General features: G+C 50.2%; 1 protein-coding gene across 17 annotated transcripts in view, besides 2 other annotated features; it reads right to left on the reverse strand.

Annotated features, from left to right (window-relative positions):
• The window catches only part of LRRC20 (leucine rich repeat containing 20), an 83,651-nt gene that overhangs the window by 29,470 nt on the left and 39,800 nt on the right, over positions 1-14,381 (reverse strand). For 12 of the 17 annotated variants that reach the window (NR_103468.2, NM_001278214.2, NM_018205.4 and 9 more), the window contains one exon: positions 12,109-12,258. The exons of the other annotated variants lie outside the window; for them this stretch is intronic. Coding sequence is in view for 11 of the 12 variants with exons in the window: in NM_018205.4 (NP_060675.1) it covers positions 12,109-12,258 (150 nt within the window). In the remaining variant the exon portion in view is untranslated. The remainder of the gene's footprint in view (positions 1-12,108; positions 12,259-14,381) is intronic. 17 annotated transcript variants of the gene reach the window in all.
• Positions 3,309-3,603: an enhancer, noted in NCBI's record as "tiled region #4423; K562 Activating DNase matched - State 5:Enh". NCBI's record gives its function as "activates a minimal TATA promoter and a strong SV40 promoter by Sharpr-MPRA in K562 cells {active_cell/tissue: K562}" and the evidence as "EXISTENCE:reporter gene assay evidence [ECO:0000049][PMID:27701403]".
• Positions 6,556-7,056: an enhancer, noted in NCBI's record as "H3K4me1 hESC enhancer chr10:72094756-72095256 (GRCh37/hg19 assembly coordinates)". NCBI's record gives its function as "activates a minimal SCP1, AML or CMV promoter by ChIP-STARR-seq in naive H9 embryonic stem cells {active_cell/tissue: H9 hESC(naive)}" and the evidence as "EXISTENCE:reporter gene assay evidence [ECO:0000049][PMID:30033119]".

Here is a 14,381-nt window from a genome sequence, read left to right on the forward strand (position 1 = left end):
CACCACCACACCCAGCTAATTTCTGGATTTTTACGAGAGACAGGGTTTTGCCATGTTGGCCAGGCTAGTCTCGAACTCCTGACCACAGGTGATACACCCGCCTCGGCCTTCCAAAGTGCTAGGATTACAGGCATGAGCCACCATGCCCGGTCAGAAAAGGGTAATCTTTGAAAATTAAATACACTCAACAAGACCAGGCGCAGTGGCTCATGCCTGTAATCCCAGCACTTTGGGAGGCCAAAGTGGGTGGATCACTTGGGGCCAGGAGTTCAAGACCAGCCTGCACAACATGGTGAAACTCTGTCTCTACTAAAAATACAAAAATCAGCCAGGCATGGCAGTACACAGCTGTAATCCCAGCTACTTGGGAGGCTGAGGCAGGAGAATTACCTGAACCCGGGAGGCGGAGGTTGCAGTGAGCCAAGATCCTGCCACTGCACTCCAGCCTGGGCAACAGAGTGAGAGCGAGACTCTCTTAGAGATAGAAGACACATGACACTTGGTTCCTGGATTATGGAACCTTTGCAGAAACAAAATTCAAAGCCAACATGATAGCAGGAATCAAAAGGGAAAATAAGAGAGGGTCAGTGCAACTGTGACACATGGATTGCAGGAAGCCAGTCAGAGCCAATGATGCCAACACAGTCTCCACTTACTCAAAAAATATTACTCAGCACCTACCACAGGGCAGGCTCTGCTAGACAGCGGGAAATCGTGGCAATGAGACAGACTAGATCCCAACCTTAACAAGCTTACAGACAAGTGCAGGGAGAAATAGTAAACAAGAAAAGAAGGTTATTTCAGATCGCTAGGAAGGCATTTGAGGTCAGAGTGAAAAAAACCAGTTCGGCAAAAAGCCCAGGGAAAAGCTATCTTCTTCTTCTTGTTGTTTTATGGCAGTGGTTAGAACTTTAAGGATGAGAGTGGACATCCTTGCCTTGTTCCCAGCTTGGGGGAAAGGCTTTCATCATCAAGTCTGATGTTAGCTGTAGGATTTTTGAAGATGCTCTTTACCAAGTTGAGGTAGTTTCCCTGTATTTCTAGTGTACTGAGAGTTGGAGTTTGTCAAATGCTTTTTCTTTGTCAAATGATATGATTGTGTGATTCTTCTTTTGCCTTTTTTTTTTTTTTTTTCGAGATGGAGTCTGGCTCTGTCCCCCAGACTGGAGTGCAGTGGCACGATCTCGGCTCACTGCAACTTCTGCCTCCCGGGTTCAAGCGATTCTCCTGTCTCAGCCTCCCGAGTAGCTGGGATTACAGGTGCATGCCGCCACTATGCCCAGCTAATTTTTTGTATTTTACTAGAGACGGGGTTTCCCCATGTTGCCCAGGCTGGTCTCGAACTCCCGAGCTCAGGCAATCCACCAACCTCAGCCTCCCAAAGTGCTGGGATTACAGGCGTGAGCCACCTCGCCCAGCCTAGCCTTTTCATATAATAGATTACACTGATTGATTTCTAAAGTTGGACCCAGACTTGCATACCTGGAATAACTGATAAATCCCACTTACACATGTCATATATTCTTCTTATACATTGCCGAATTTGACTGGTAATATTTTGCTGAGAATCTTTCCATCTGTGTTCTTGGGAGATATTGGTCTGTATTTTCTTTTTCTTTCACATTTTTTATACTGTCTTTGTCTGCATTTGATATCAGAGTAATATCAACTTCATAGCATGGATTGGGAAGTATGCCCTTCCCTTCTATTTTCTGGAAGAGGCTGTGTAAAATTGATGTTAATTCTCATTTTAAAAGTTTGATAGAATTCTCCAATGCAATCACCTGGGCTTGGAGATTTCTTCTTTGGGATCTTTTTATTTATGAATTCCACTTATTTGATAGTCATAGGTCTCTTCAGGTTGTCTGTTTCATCTTGGCTGAGTTTTAGTGGTTTGTGGTTCTCAAGAACATGGTCCATTTCTTCTAAGTTGCCAAATTTATAAGAATAAAGTTGTTTATAATAAACCTGGTAGGTTTTGAGTGGGAACCAAACCATGGAGCTGCTTCTAGGCCCCCTCCCCAAGGGAGGGCAAAGACAGCAGGTTCCTGGGGATGGATGTCCCACCCCTGTCAGTCACCCACTTGTCCAACCCCTAGGGCTTTATGAATGTCAATGTATGTGCCAAATTCCACCAAAATTGTTAGAGTAAATCTCCAGGTAGCCAAATCTGAGCTCCATGGGAAGGAAGCATTCCACAGAAAGGCCTTGAATTAGACAGAATGGGGCATGCATCCTGATGGGGTGGGGAGGCACCGGCAAGAGAGCAAGTTCTTCCCAGCCATCCAGCTTCACTTCTCAGAAGCCACGGCCCAGCAGGGTCTCTGAGTTGCTTCTGCTCCCACTGTGGTTTCCACTGCTCTACCCAAGCTGCCTGCGTCACAAGCTCCACAAATCCTCTGTGCGGTAAGGTGAGGTATATATACACAACCAGTTAAAAACAGCCTCTTAGCATTAGCTGAGAAGCAGGTGACCACACCACCTGCTTCCATGGCAAAGAGCCTGACCGGGGACCCGGGGACCCTGAACTGAGGTCTCGCCCTACATCTTCCTGGAGGCAGGTCAGAAAAGCCACTTCTCCCTTCTGAGCCTCAGGGTCCCCATCCGTGAAGACGTGGACTTGGGGATCTCTCCAGTTCTGTTCTCACTGAAATTCCTTGTGGAGAGAGATTCCTATGACTGGACCATCATCCTGACTACTTGGCCAGAGACCTCTCTTGTCTACAACTAAGCCCCCCAGTGTCTTCACCATCACTGTATCAGAAGCATCACTCATCAAGAATCTTGCATGCACCAAACCCTACACAGGGCACCTTATAAGCAATATCTCCAACCTCACAAAATCACTATGGAGTAGATGTTTCCCCATTTCTCAGATAAGGAAACTGAGGCCACGAAGGCCAACTGGGGCCAGCAAGGCTGCTGATGCCTTGGCTTTCTTTTTATCTCTTATATGGCCCCAAACCAGGCATTTAAGGTTTTCTCTGTTGTTTCCAGTTCAGAGGAAGAATAAAAGTGTGGCCAAAGCCCCAGCCACGGGATCGGCCAGTGTGTTGGGCTTCCAGCCCAACACAGCCACAGCCACGTCTGGCTTTGCTTCTCACCTCTGGAGTCACAGCACCCAGGCCATCTGCCCAAGGTCTTACTGCCCCCTCTTCTGGACAGAGAGGGCTGAGATCTTCTGGTCCCAGAAGACTGCATTAGGGGTTCCAAAGATTCTTCCTGCACCAGGCCAGGGTTCAGAGTGGAACAACCAGGGCTCCCAGGATGGACCGGGGCTCTGGAAAAAGATCCCACTCCATTCCACTCCCAACGTTGTACCCAGCCTGAGAGCAGCCCCCATCATGACATTTCCTTATTGATTAAACCTACTGAACTGTGGTTTCCGGTGTCTGTTAAATGGACCTCTTCTTCCCCAAGTTCCTCTTATTACTTCCTGTACCATCCTTATCTTGGACAATTGCCAAGGCTGACTCAGAGGCCTTAGATTAACCCCAGCTGAGAGAGAAGCTTGCCAATTCCATTAGGGGACAGACAAGGCTGGCCTGCAGTAATTATACAACCCATGCTCGAAGGAATGTGCCAACTCCAAAAATACCTGCTCACCAAACCTCAATCAGCACCTCGGCTCTGAACCTGCGGCAATGAGCAATCACAGTCCCTGACTGCACGGACTCCCCAGCAGGGCAGAGTCAGACGGTCAGGTGGGCAGTGTCCTTCCACCAGCCCATGCTCAGTGCTGAGGAGGCTTCACACAGAGACAGCTGCTGCCCACAGGGGTCAGAGGGCATTTCCAGATGCCACACTCACTCCTTGGGGGTGGACAAGGGGAAGGGCAGAAAAAGCACTTTTAACAAGGTCTGGAACAGACTAAAATGAAGTACTAAACATTCTGCCTCCATAAAAAGACTAAGGCAGGCCAGGTGCAGTGGCTCACGCCTGTAATCCCAACACTTTGGGAGGCTGAGACAGGCGGATCACTTGAGTCTAGGAGTTCAAGACTAGCCTGGGCAACATGGCAAGACCCTGTCTCTACAAACAATACAAAAAATTAGCTAGGTTTGATGGTGTGTGCCGTAGTCCCAGCTAGTCGGGAGGCTAAGGTGGAAAGATCACTTGAGCCCAGGAGGCAGAGGTTGCAGTGAGCCGAGATTGCACCACTGCACTCCAGCCTGGGTGACAGAGGGAGACCTGTTTCAAAAGAAAAGACTAAGGTAGCTCTTTTTTCTTGCTGTGTGAACTTGGGCAAGTTACTTGTTACTTTATGCTCTGTTTGCTTACAACAGTACCTACCCTTGGTGGCATATTATAAATGCTACTATTATGAAGTATATTTATATTTACATAGGCATGGAATATCTCCAGTACTGCTAATGGTGGTTGTCTCTGGACACGGACTTGGATGTCTGGGGACAGGAGTAGAAGAGCAGACTTATTTTTCCCCACTATCCTTTCAATCCTCAAAATATCACATTGTGTGCATCTACTGCCTAATCAAAAATAAATAAGTAAATAGGATACGTTTTTCAAATGAAGACTTAGAGCTCTGCAGGTGTGGCAGAGACATAAACAGCAACAAGAGAGGTGCTTGGGAATGGGTAAGAAGAGCAGAGGCAGGTATGGAAACATCTGAATCGCAGAGCTGGGAGCAAAGGAGAGCTGCACTTAGAGCCTGGAAGAGGGAAGTGAAGGGAAACTGCAGTCTTCTGCCTTACAGGGTTGCAAGAAGTGTTAGCTTGGGCTCTGGAGGACAGAGGTACCAGAGGCTCAGAGCCACACGGTCCTGGTGTTCCAGGTGTACCCTCCTCCCCCAACACACTGTACAGAATTCTGGGCTGGGGGGTGCAAGGGGGCTGTTGAGGTCTGCTGGTTTCTAGGGGTGGTTAAGACCCAGGATGGAAGCGATGCTCTCCTGCTGGTGCAGCAGCAATCCATCTCCAGGCTGCCCCAACTCCCCTTCATAGGGAATTTAACTTATTTTTTGTAGCTCTGTAGGTTGGTTGGTCTCTGCTGGGCGGTTCTTCTGCTATATGTAGTAGAGCCTCAAAATGCCCTCTGACCTCAGTGATCCCATCTCTGGGATTCTACTAAGGATGCTGAAGCCCATGATGCTTGGGTTCCTTAACACTGCTAGGAAGGGCTGACCCACTGCCCAGAAGCAGCCATGCAGGGGTCACAAACAGTTTGGCCTTTGCTTCACTGAGGTCATCCAGGTAGCTCCAGGGGTGGGGCACCCTTGAGGACTGATGGCAAAAACTGATGCAGAAGGCCACAACCTTGTCACTGCCTTGGTACCAGGTAGGAACTCTTGATCATCTGCAATTGGGGTCTGCCCCTTGTGCATAACTCAGGGGAGATGGACTCTCCCAGACCCCACTATTCCAGTGGTGGGTTGCACTGAAAGAACCAGAAAATGTGTTTCTGGCCGGGTGCTGTGGCTCAGGCCTATTATCCCAACACTTTGGGAGGACATGATGGGTGGATCATCTGAGGCCAGGAGTTTGAGACCAGCCTGACCAACATGGTTAAATCCTGTCTCTACTAAAAATACAAAAATTAGCCAGGCGTGGTGGCAAGTGCCTGTAATCCCAGCTACTCGGGAGGCTGAGGCAGAAGAATCGCTTGAACTGGGGAGGTGGAGGTGGCAGTGAGCAGAGATAGTGCCACTGCACTCCACCCTGGGTGACACAGCGAGACTCCATCTTAAAAAAAAAAAAAAGAAAATGTGTTTCTGACAGAGTAGATCTGCCTGATCCCATGCTACAACCAAACCTAAGCATCCCATTGACCGCACAAAGCTTCCATGTCTGCCCTGCTGTCCCTGCACATTCCTGAGCCCCCTCTTCTTTTCTCTTTTGTCCACTAAGTAACATCAGCTATTAGAAAAAGTAAACCCAGTGGGCTGAAGTGAAGTAGGAAGCTGGGGAGGAACAGCACACTGTGACCCCAACACCCCAACAGCCTTTCTGAGGACGGTTCCCTTGCTCCCCGGGTTTGGAAATGTAATGTGCCCAGGGGACACTCCCCGTCTCCTCCCTTCCCAGAACTCCAGAAAATAGTAACTCCTGTGGGGCACTGACATACACTGTTCACTGGCACACCCCCTTCCCACCCCCAAATACCGCCTAAGACTCCTGACCACACGTGGACAGCAGCAGCTTTGATGGCATGGCCTGAGGAACAGAGGGACCCACCCCGTCCTCACCACCCTGGCCTGTTAGGATGAACTCAGTTGCTTTAACCTAGCTTCTCCATGCCCTCTGCCCACACCCACCCCCAGGCACCAGGCATGTAGGGCCCTTGGAGCAGGAAGACCACTCCCCAAAGTGTGCAGAGAGGAGCCAAGGCTGAGGCGTGGCCCCCTCTGGCACCAAGGCGGTTGCCAGAGGTAAAGATAAAGCCTGGTGCCTCCCTCCTGACTGTCCTAATTGCTGAGATAATGAGGAAAATTGCCCCATTTTCTCTGGCAGGCACCAGGAGCTGCTGCCTGGAGAGCCCTGTGGTGAGGGTAAGGGGCAGCCCAGTGAGCAGCCAGGAGCCCTCTGCAGACAGGCTCCCCCCAGGTGTCATGCACCCTGTGGGCTCACCCTGGGCACATCTCCGAGGTCACCCCTGGGAGGGCCTGGCTCTGAGGAGGAAACCACACTTCTTCCCGGAGTTTATGGCTGGCTGGCATCTCCCTGTCAGGGACAGTGTAAAGAACACACACTTGGGGAAACAGAAAGAGGCAAGAAGCCTGGTGCTGCTGAAAAATCAGAGAAAATGAGCCACGAGCCCCAGGGAACTTCTCAACTCCACATTGCTGGATGCTCCCCAACTACTCACAAGCCCTCTGGGGCCCAGTTCCACCAGGCTGTGTTACCTCCAGATGCAGGGTCTTGGGGTCAGCAAGTCTCCATGGAGGCCCCAGGCTGGCCGACTGGAGCAACCCACCTCCCAGTCCGCCCGCCCGCGCCCACACACAGCTGCTCCCGACCAACCAAAGCCGCTCCCCTGCCCTGCAGCAGCCCCAGCAGCCAGCTCCGGCTGCCCTGGCCCAGGCCCAGGCTCTTGAGATGAGGGAACTCATCGCTTTGGAGGGCAGAAGGAGCTCGCAACCTCCCTTATGACTTGGCTTCAAGGCCCTGCCTGTTCCGTGCCTTCCTGGCCTGGCCTCACACAGCTTCTCCCTGCTAGGATGCTTCTCTGCCTTTTCCACAGGGCCTATCCCCTCCCAACCTCCCAGAACTCTTCCCAAACATTCCCACCCAGGCAGATGACTCCTTCCAGCCAGTCCCTAACAACACACCATCCCTCCGCTCTGTAACACTCAGTCTTCTACCATTTTTCTAGTTATTTCCCAAACATAACTTTCACTGTCCCAAAGATGCTTTAGAAACTCCTTCTTATTTACCTGGTAAACTCCTACTTATCTGTCAAATCCACATTTTAAGCCATTTCCTCTGGAGGCTTTCTGATTCCCTAATTACTGAAAGCAAAACTGACTTCCAACACCTGGACACCCACAGACCGTGGACAAACGTCTGCTGCACCGCCCCTCACATTATGACATGGTGTCTGCTCATAAACCTGCCTCCCCTGCAAGATCAGCAAGATGAGGGGCTCCTCCGGGGCCACGTCCAGTTCTCAGTTTTCTTATCATTTCCAAATGACACGGCTGCTATCAGGACTAAATGACATGATACAGGGAGAATGCTCAGCATGGAGCCGGGAGAGCTGAGCACCTTGTGAATTTGGGCTCTGCTGTTATCACTCACCCGTGCATTCCCACAGCCACACCGAACCCAATGCTTGTGGGAATCTGCTGGATTGAGTTGACGGGCAGGGATGTGAGAGACTGAATATACAAACAGGCAATGACCAGGCCAAATATAAAAACAGAACTCCACTCACAACCCGCAGCAGCCTGCCCAGGAAACCAACCCATGATCTACAGTAACCAGCCAGGATGCCAGCCTGCCATATGTCAGATTTGTAGGAAGTCAGACTGCTATCTCTAGCAATCATTCAGGAAGCTAAACAACAATCCCTATAACAACTGGTCCCAAATGGCTGGGACTCAATTAACAACTAACAGCTTCCTGATTTTTGTCCCCACTTCCAATTAAGGACCAACAAAAGAAAGCCAATATGCCCTCCTTGTCAATCACAGAGGATGCTCCGCCTCTAGTTAGAACTCCCCCGTGCCAACAATCAGAGAGTACCTGAAGTCTTCCCTTTTTTCCACTCTACCACTCTGCTGCCTGCCTTTGAGTCTCTGCCAACACACAAGTGATGGTGGCTGACTCCTTCACTGTAGCAAGCTCCGAATACATAGCCTGTGCTTTTCTCATTTGGGTGGTCTTCGTTTATTGCCATAGGTGTGTCTCCTACACCTCTGGCCTGGCAGTCCCAGGACACACTCACTAAAAAGAGCTAAGACTTGAGGAAGAGGGGAAACAGGGATACAGGAGCAGAAGGGACAGAAGAGCCACAGCAGGACATGGGGACCCACTCTCTGCAGGGCCCACCTGCCATCAGACCAATTCCATGTGTGCCCTTGGCTTTCTCATGTCTTATTTTTTCCTTCCATAAAATGGATGAAGGACATCAAGGGGATGGAATCACCTAGAGATGACCCACCCCTGCCAGGGCCTTGGGCCTTGCAGAAGAGTCCCCAGGGCAGCCCCAGGAGACATTGTGGCAGGCAGGGAGGAAGCAGCTTGTTCTCTCCCCAGCACTAAGGCAGCCCACCTCTGCAAGCACCCAGAGGAGGACAGAGCAGGCCTGCTGAGCTCAGCCAGGCCTATTTAAGCCTCCTCTTCACACATAAAAGAAGAGGGCTTTTCTATTTGAAAGAGAAACCACAACAAAGGCTCAGGCCCAGAGCCATCTCTCAGGGTAGGGGGAGAGCCCAACAGGGTGCTCAGCTCCCACCCTCCCTGCTGCCACCGCATCCCTCAATCCGCTGCCTCTGTGAATTCAATTAGCAGGCACTTTGTGATTTGAGGCAGCGTGAGGGAGTCAGGAGCCACTGGCAGCAGAGAAGGAGTTCAAACAGCAACTTCAGCAGACTTCTAACCAGAAGGTGCTACGTAAATACATTTCCGCATCCCACAGATGCATGGGCTAAGTAGCATTTCTCTGGCACCTTTCCCCATGCCCTCTGGGGAGGGCCTACTTACTCATCCCACAAGGCTCTCCCCAGATGTCAAGCAGTTTCAAAGCTCTTGCATCCATACCCAGGCCCTTCCCATGCCACTCTCAGGAAGAATTCATTCCTCTTCCCAGCAGTCCCTTCCAGCATTTTGTCCATACCCGTATCACAGCACTGGGTGGTGAGGACAATGTGTCCTGCAACCCTGGTCTCCTCAGGGGGAGACCCTGGTGGATTGGCCTTTGTTTCTGGGCCTCCGGACCTAGGTCTGGGAGACGCAGGTGTTCAAGGGAAGGTCTAATGAAGTAAAAGCACAAGTGAACTCTCCTCTTACCCAAAGGGCCTGACTGTGCCCTTTCTGAGGGCCCGGACAGCCCCACCCTCCATTTTCAATCATTCTATCCTCCTCGGGAAAGCAAACATCCAATCCCAATTGGCTGAGTACAGCACTAGAGGACCCTGGGACAAACACAGGTGGCCTGGAAAGTTCCAGACCTGGAAATCCTGCTCTAGGAGCCTCTCCCTGTCCTCCAAGTCATAGGGATTTTAGCTTTTCAGGCACAAATGCAACAAACTCTGTGAGCTTCACTCAGAAACAGCTATGTAGACTAATCCCTCCTCCTTGTCCTTCTGTTTGCATGGTGGCCTTTCCAAGTCCTGCCTGTAGCTCCCTCCTGAGCCACTGTCCCTGCACTGTGTTTGCCACTTCATGCACCCTCTCCCTCCTGGCCTGCCCAATGCCCACACCTCCTCTAGGAAGCTTGCCTAGCCTAAAGTCAGCCCTATGAGATAGGCTTGCTCGGGTCCCTCATGCATCATCAGCATTTCATGTATTTCTTTCTCTAAACAGGATCTTAGACCCTTTTCATATCCCTATCACGTAGAGCATTCCTAGATCCTAGATGATATTCCCTTTCATGGGGAGACCACATTCTGTGGATCCATTTCCCAGTTGATAGACATTTGGGTTGTTTCCACTTTCCAGCTTTCAGGCTGTTATGAATAATGCTGCCATGAACATCCACGTGTAATGTGTTTTTGCATGGATGTATGGTTTTGTTTTTTTGGTTTTTGTTTGTTTGTTTGTTTTGTTTTTTTGAGACATAGTCTTGCTCTGTCACCCAGGCTGGAGTGCAGTGGCACGATCGCAGCTCACTGCAACCTCCACCTTCCGGGTTCAAGCGATTCTCCTGCATCAGCCTCCCAAGTAGTTGGGATTACAGGTGTGCGCCACCACACCCGGCTAATTTTTGTATTTTTAGTAGAGACAGAGTTTCGCCATGTTGGTCAGGCTGATCTTGAACTCCTGACCTCAGGGGATCCACCTGCCTCAGCCTCCCAAAGTGCTGGGATTACAGGCGTGAGCCACTGCACCTGGCAACGTGGACATATGTTTTTACACCTCTTGGGTATATACGTAGGAGGGGAGTGACTGGGTCATATGGTAACTCTGTGCTCTGTGTTTAACCATTTGAGGAACTGCTTGACCTGTCTACACAGCAGCTTCCCAGCTGCTGCTTGTATGAGGCTTGCCTTCAGTGTGACAGGACTAGGAAGAAAGTCTGTGTGAAATGCCTGTTTTCAAAGAAGTAGACTATTGTGAAGCACTCTTTAAACTGCATCTTCGCTGTTGAGTCTTTGATGATTCCAAAGGGACTTGTGGATTCTTCAAAGTCTCAAGGGCACTGCTATGAATGCTGGTCGTCTTTGTACCAGCAGACACAATTCTGGCTAGGAGGCTGTGGCAACAGAGATGGTGCTGTTACAAATCCTTAAGTTCAAGGTGCAAGGGAGAGACAGGTGTGAGTTAATGCCTGTGAGGAAGGCTCCTGGAAGACAGAGGGCAGGCTCTGAAGCCTGGTCTCCAGGGCAGGCAGGTGAGAGCGCAAGGAGGCTGGAAGGGGGGCATGGAGTTGGGGTCCATGTGAGTCTGGGATGAAGCAGGATCTGCCCCCCTAGGCTTCCTGTGCCCTCCGCAATTCTCCCACTCCACTCGTTCACAAACGTACAACAGGCGCCCATGCCACAGCTCTGTCACATGGGTCACTGAGCAGCAGTGACCTCTCGTAGAAGGATGGAGAGACTGCTCTCTGGAGAAGAGGGCAGGCACTGCAGCAGTCAGGCCACACTGCTTGTCCATCCAGAGGAACCATTTCTAGAGCATCTACGAGGCTCACCTGCTGGACTCCTGCCACCTTGATGGCAAGCACCTACAACCACATGCTCTGAATATGCCCAGCAGAGAAAATGCCAACATCGGCCAGGCATGGTGGCTCATACCTGTAATCCCAGCGCTTTGGGAGACTGAGGCGGGCAGATCACCTGAGGTCAGGAGTTTGAGACCAGCTTGGCCAACATGGTAAAACCCCACCTCTATTAAAAATATTAAAATGACCCAGGTGTGGTGGCACACACCTGTAATCCCAGCTACTTGGGAGGCTGAGGCAGGAGAATCGCTTGAACCTGGGAGGTGGAGGCTGCAGTGAGCCGAGATCACACCGCTGCACTCCAGCCTGGGCGATACAGCAAGATTCCATCTCAAAAAAAAAAAAAGAAAAGAAAATGCCAACATCCCTGGCATCTGTCACTCCTGAACTGAGAGAGCAACACAGGAGAACAACACTAGATTGGAAGGTGAGAAGGGGGCTCATTCAAGACTACTGGGAAATAACAACTCCCAGGGCCTCAGGACCCAAACACCCTGCTGGTCTGTTCAGAACAAGAGAATCACTCCAGGAACCACACCCTTGATCCTTGTTCAATCTGCTTCACAGCCAGCTAGAGGCAGAAGTGACCTAGAGAGTTCCAAGCTGCAGGGAGAACACAGGTCCATTTTCAAAGTCAACCCATGGGAATGATTTCATGGGTGTCGCTGACCAGGGACCAGCTCTGGTGGCACTCCCCAGACAGGGTCAGAGCCTGAACGATGAGAGCTGGCCATGCCCTCCTGGCTGGAGCTGACCAGGGCCTACCTCGGAGCTGACTGAATGTGGTCATGAACTTGCTGGTGAGGGACTTAAGCTCGTTGTTAGCCAGGGTGATGAGGTGGATCTGGCCAGAGACATTCCGCAGGACCTTGTAGATGCCAATGGGAAAGGAGACCAGCTTGCACTCGGCCAGGTCTGCAGCCAAAGAACAAAAACAAACCAGAGTTATCAGCCACAGCTGCCCGAGAACTTGTCCCAGACTCACACAGACCCCACCTCCATGCCCCCTTCCAGCCTCCTTGCCCTCCCACCTGTCTCCCCAGGACCAGGCTTCAGACCCTGCCCTCCCTCTTCCAGGAGCCCTCCTCATAGGCATTAACTCACACCTGTCCCTCCCTTGCACCCTGAACCTAAGGATTTGTGTTAGCACCATCTCTGTTACCACAGCCTACTAGCCAGAATCGTGTCTGCCGGCACAAAGATGACTGGCATTCATAGCAGTGCCTTTGAGATCCTGCAGAATCCACAAGTCCCTTTAGAATCATCAAAGACTCGACAGCGCAGATGCAGTCTAAAGACTGCTTTACAATAGTCTACTTCTTTGAAAACAGGCAATTCACACAGACTTTATGGTTTGATCTTCTTCCTAGTCCTGTCACGCTGAAGGCAAGCCTCGTACAAGCAGCAGTTGGGAAGCCACTGTGCAGAACAGTCAGGCACTTCCTCAAATGGTTAAACACAGAGCACAGAGTTACCATATGACCCAGTCACTCCACTCTTAGGTATATACCCAAGAGACAAAAACATACATCCATGCAAAAACACATTACATGTGGATGTTCATGGCAGCGTTATTCACAATGGCCCGAAAGCCAGAAAGTGGAAACAACCCAAATGTCCACCAACTGGGGACTGGATCAGCAAAATGTGGTCTCTCCATGAAAGGGAATATCATCCAGCAACAAAAAGAAATGAAGTGGCCAGGCGTGGTGGCTCACGCCTGTAATCCCAGCACTTTGGGAGGCCAAGGTGGGTGGATGGCTTGAAGCCAGGAGTTCGAGACCAGCCTGGCCAACATGGTGAAATCCTATCTCTACTAAAAACAAAAAAATTAGCCGGGCATGGTGGTATGTACCTGTAATCCCAGCTACTCACAAGGCTGAGGCACGAGAATCACTTGAGCCTGGGAGGTGGGAGTTACAGTGGGCCCAGGTCATACCACTGCACACCAGCCTGGGCAACAGAACAAGACTCCGTCTCCCCACCAAAAAAATTTTTAAAAAAGAAATGAAGTACCAATGTATGTTATAGCAGCTATAGCATGGCTGAACCCTGAAAATGTGATGCCAGGCAAAAGCCAGTTACAAAGGCCTGCATATTGTACAGTTTCATTATATGAAATGTCAAGAATAGGCAAATGCATACAGACGGAAAGTAGATTAGCCAAGGCTGCAGGGGATGGAGGGTGGGGGAGTTCTTTGTAGGGGTAATAAAAATGTTCTAAGATTGGGCGGGGCGCAGTGGCTCACGCCTGCAATCCCAGCACTTTGGGAGGCTGAGGTGGCCAGATCACTTGAGGCCAGGAGTTTGAGACCAGCCTGGCCAATATAGAGAAACCCCATCTCTACTAAAAATACAAAAAAAACAAAAAAATTAGCTGGGCATGGTGGCACATGCCTGCAATCCCAACTACTCGGGAGGCTGAGTCATGAGAATCGCTTCAACCTGGGAGGCAAAGGTTGCAGTGAGCTGAGATCACACCACTGCACTCCAACCTGGGCAACAGAGTGAGACTATCTCAAAAAAAAAAAAAAGTTCTAAGATTGGATTGTGGTGATAACTGCTCAACTCTGAACATAGTAAAACCACTGAATTGTACACTTTAAGTGGATGAATTGTGTGGCATGTGAATTATACATCAATAAAGCTGATATATATACATATATAATTGTATATATTATTATATATGTGAACAGCAGCAGATAGACCCTAAAAGCATAGGGGTTCAGAAATTAGTCTGTCCAGTTCATCAAGGTGTCACTCAAGTTCCCTGAGCCTCAGTTTCCTCATCCACAGAATGAAGGTACCACCAGCTGCCTAGCAGAGCTGTTGGGAAAAATTAAATGTAGTAAAATAATGACTAACAAAGCGCCTAGAAGATACTTAGCAGGAATGCTACAAATATTGTAGCAGTCCTCCCCTTCCACTTTACCTCCTCTTGCCACTCGATCTAAAGCCTCTCTATGCTTCCAGGCCAGCTTCCATCTCATCTCTTCCAGAAGTCTTCTGGGTCACCCCTTTTGCTGGTGTCCAGTCAG

The sequence above is a fragment of the Homo sapiens genome, chromosome 10 (genome assembly GCF_000001405.40).
Source record: "Homo sapiens chromosome 10, GRCh38.p14 Primary Assembly".
NCBI lineage: Eukaryota > Metazoa > Chordata > Mammalia > Primates > Hominidae > Homo > Homo sapiens.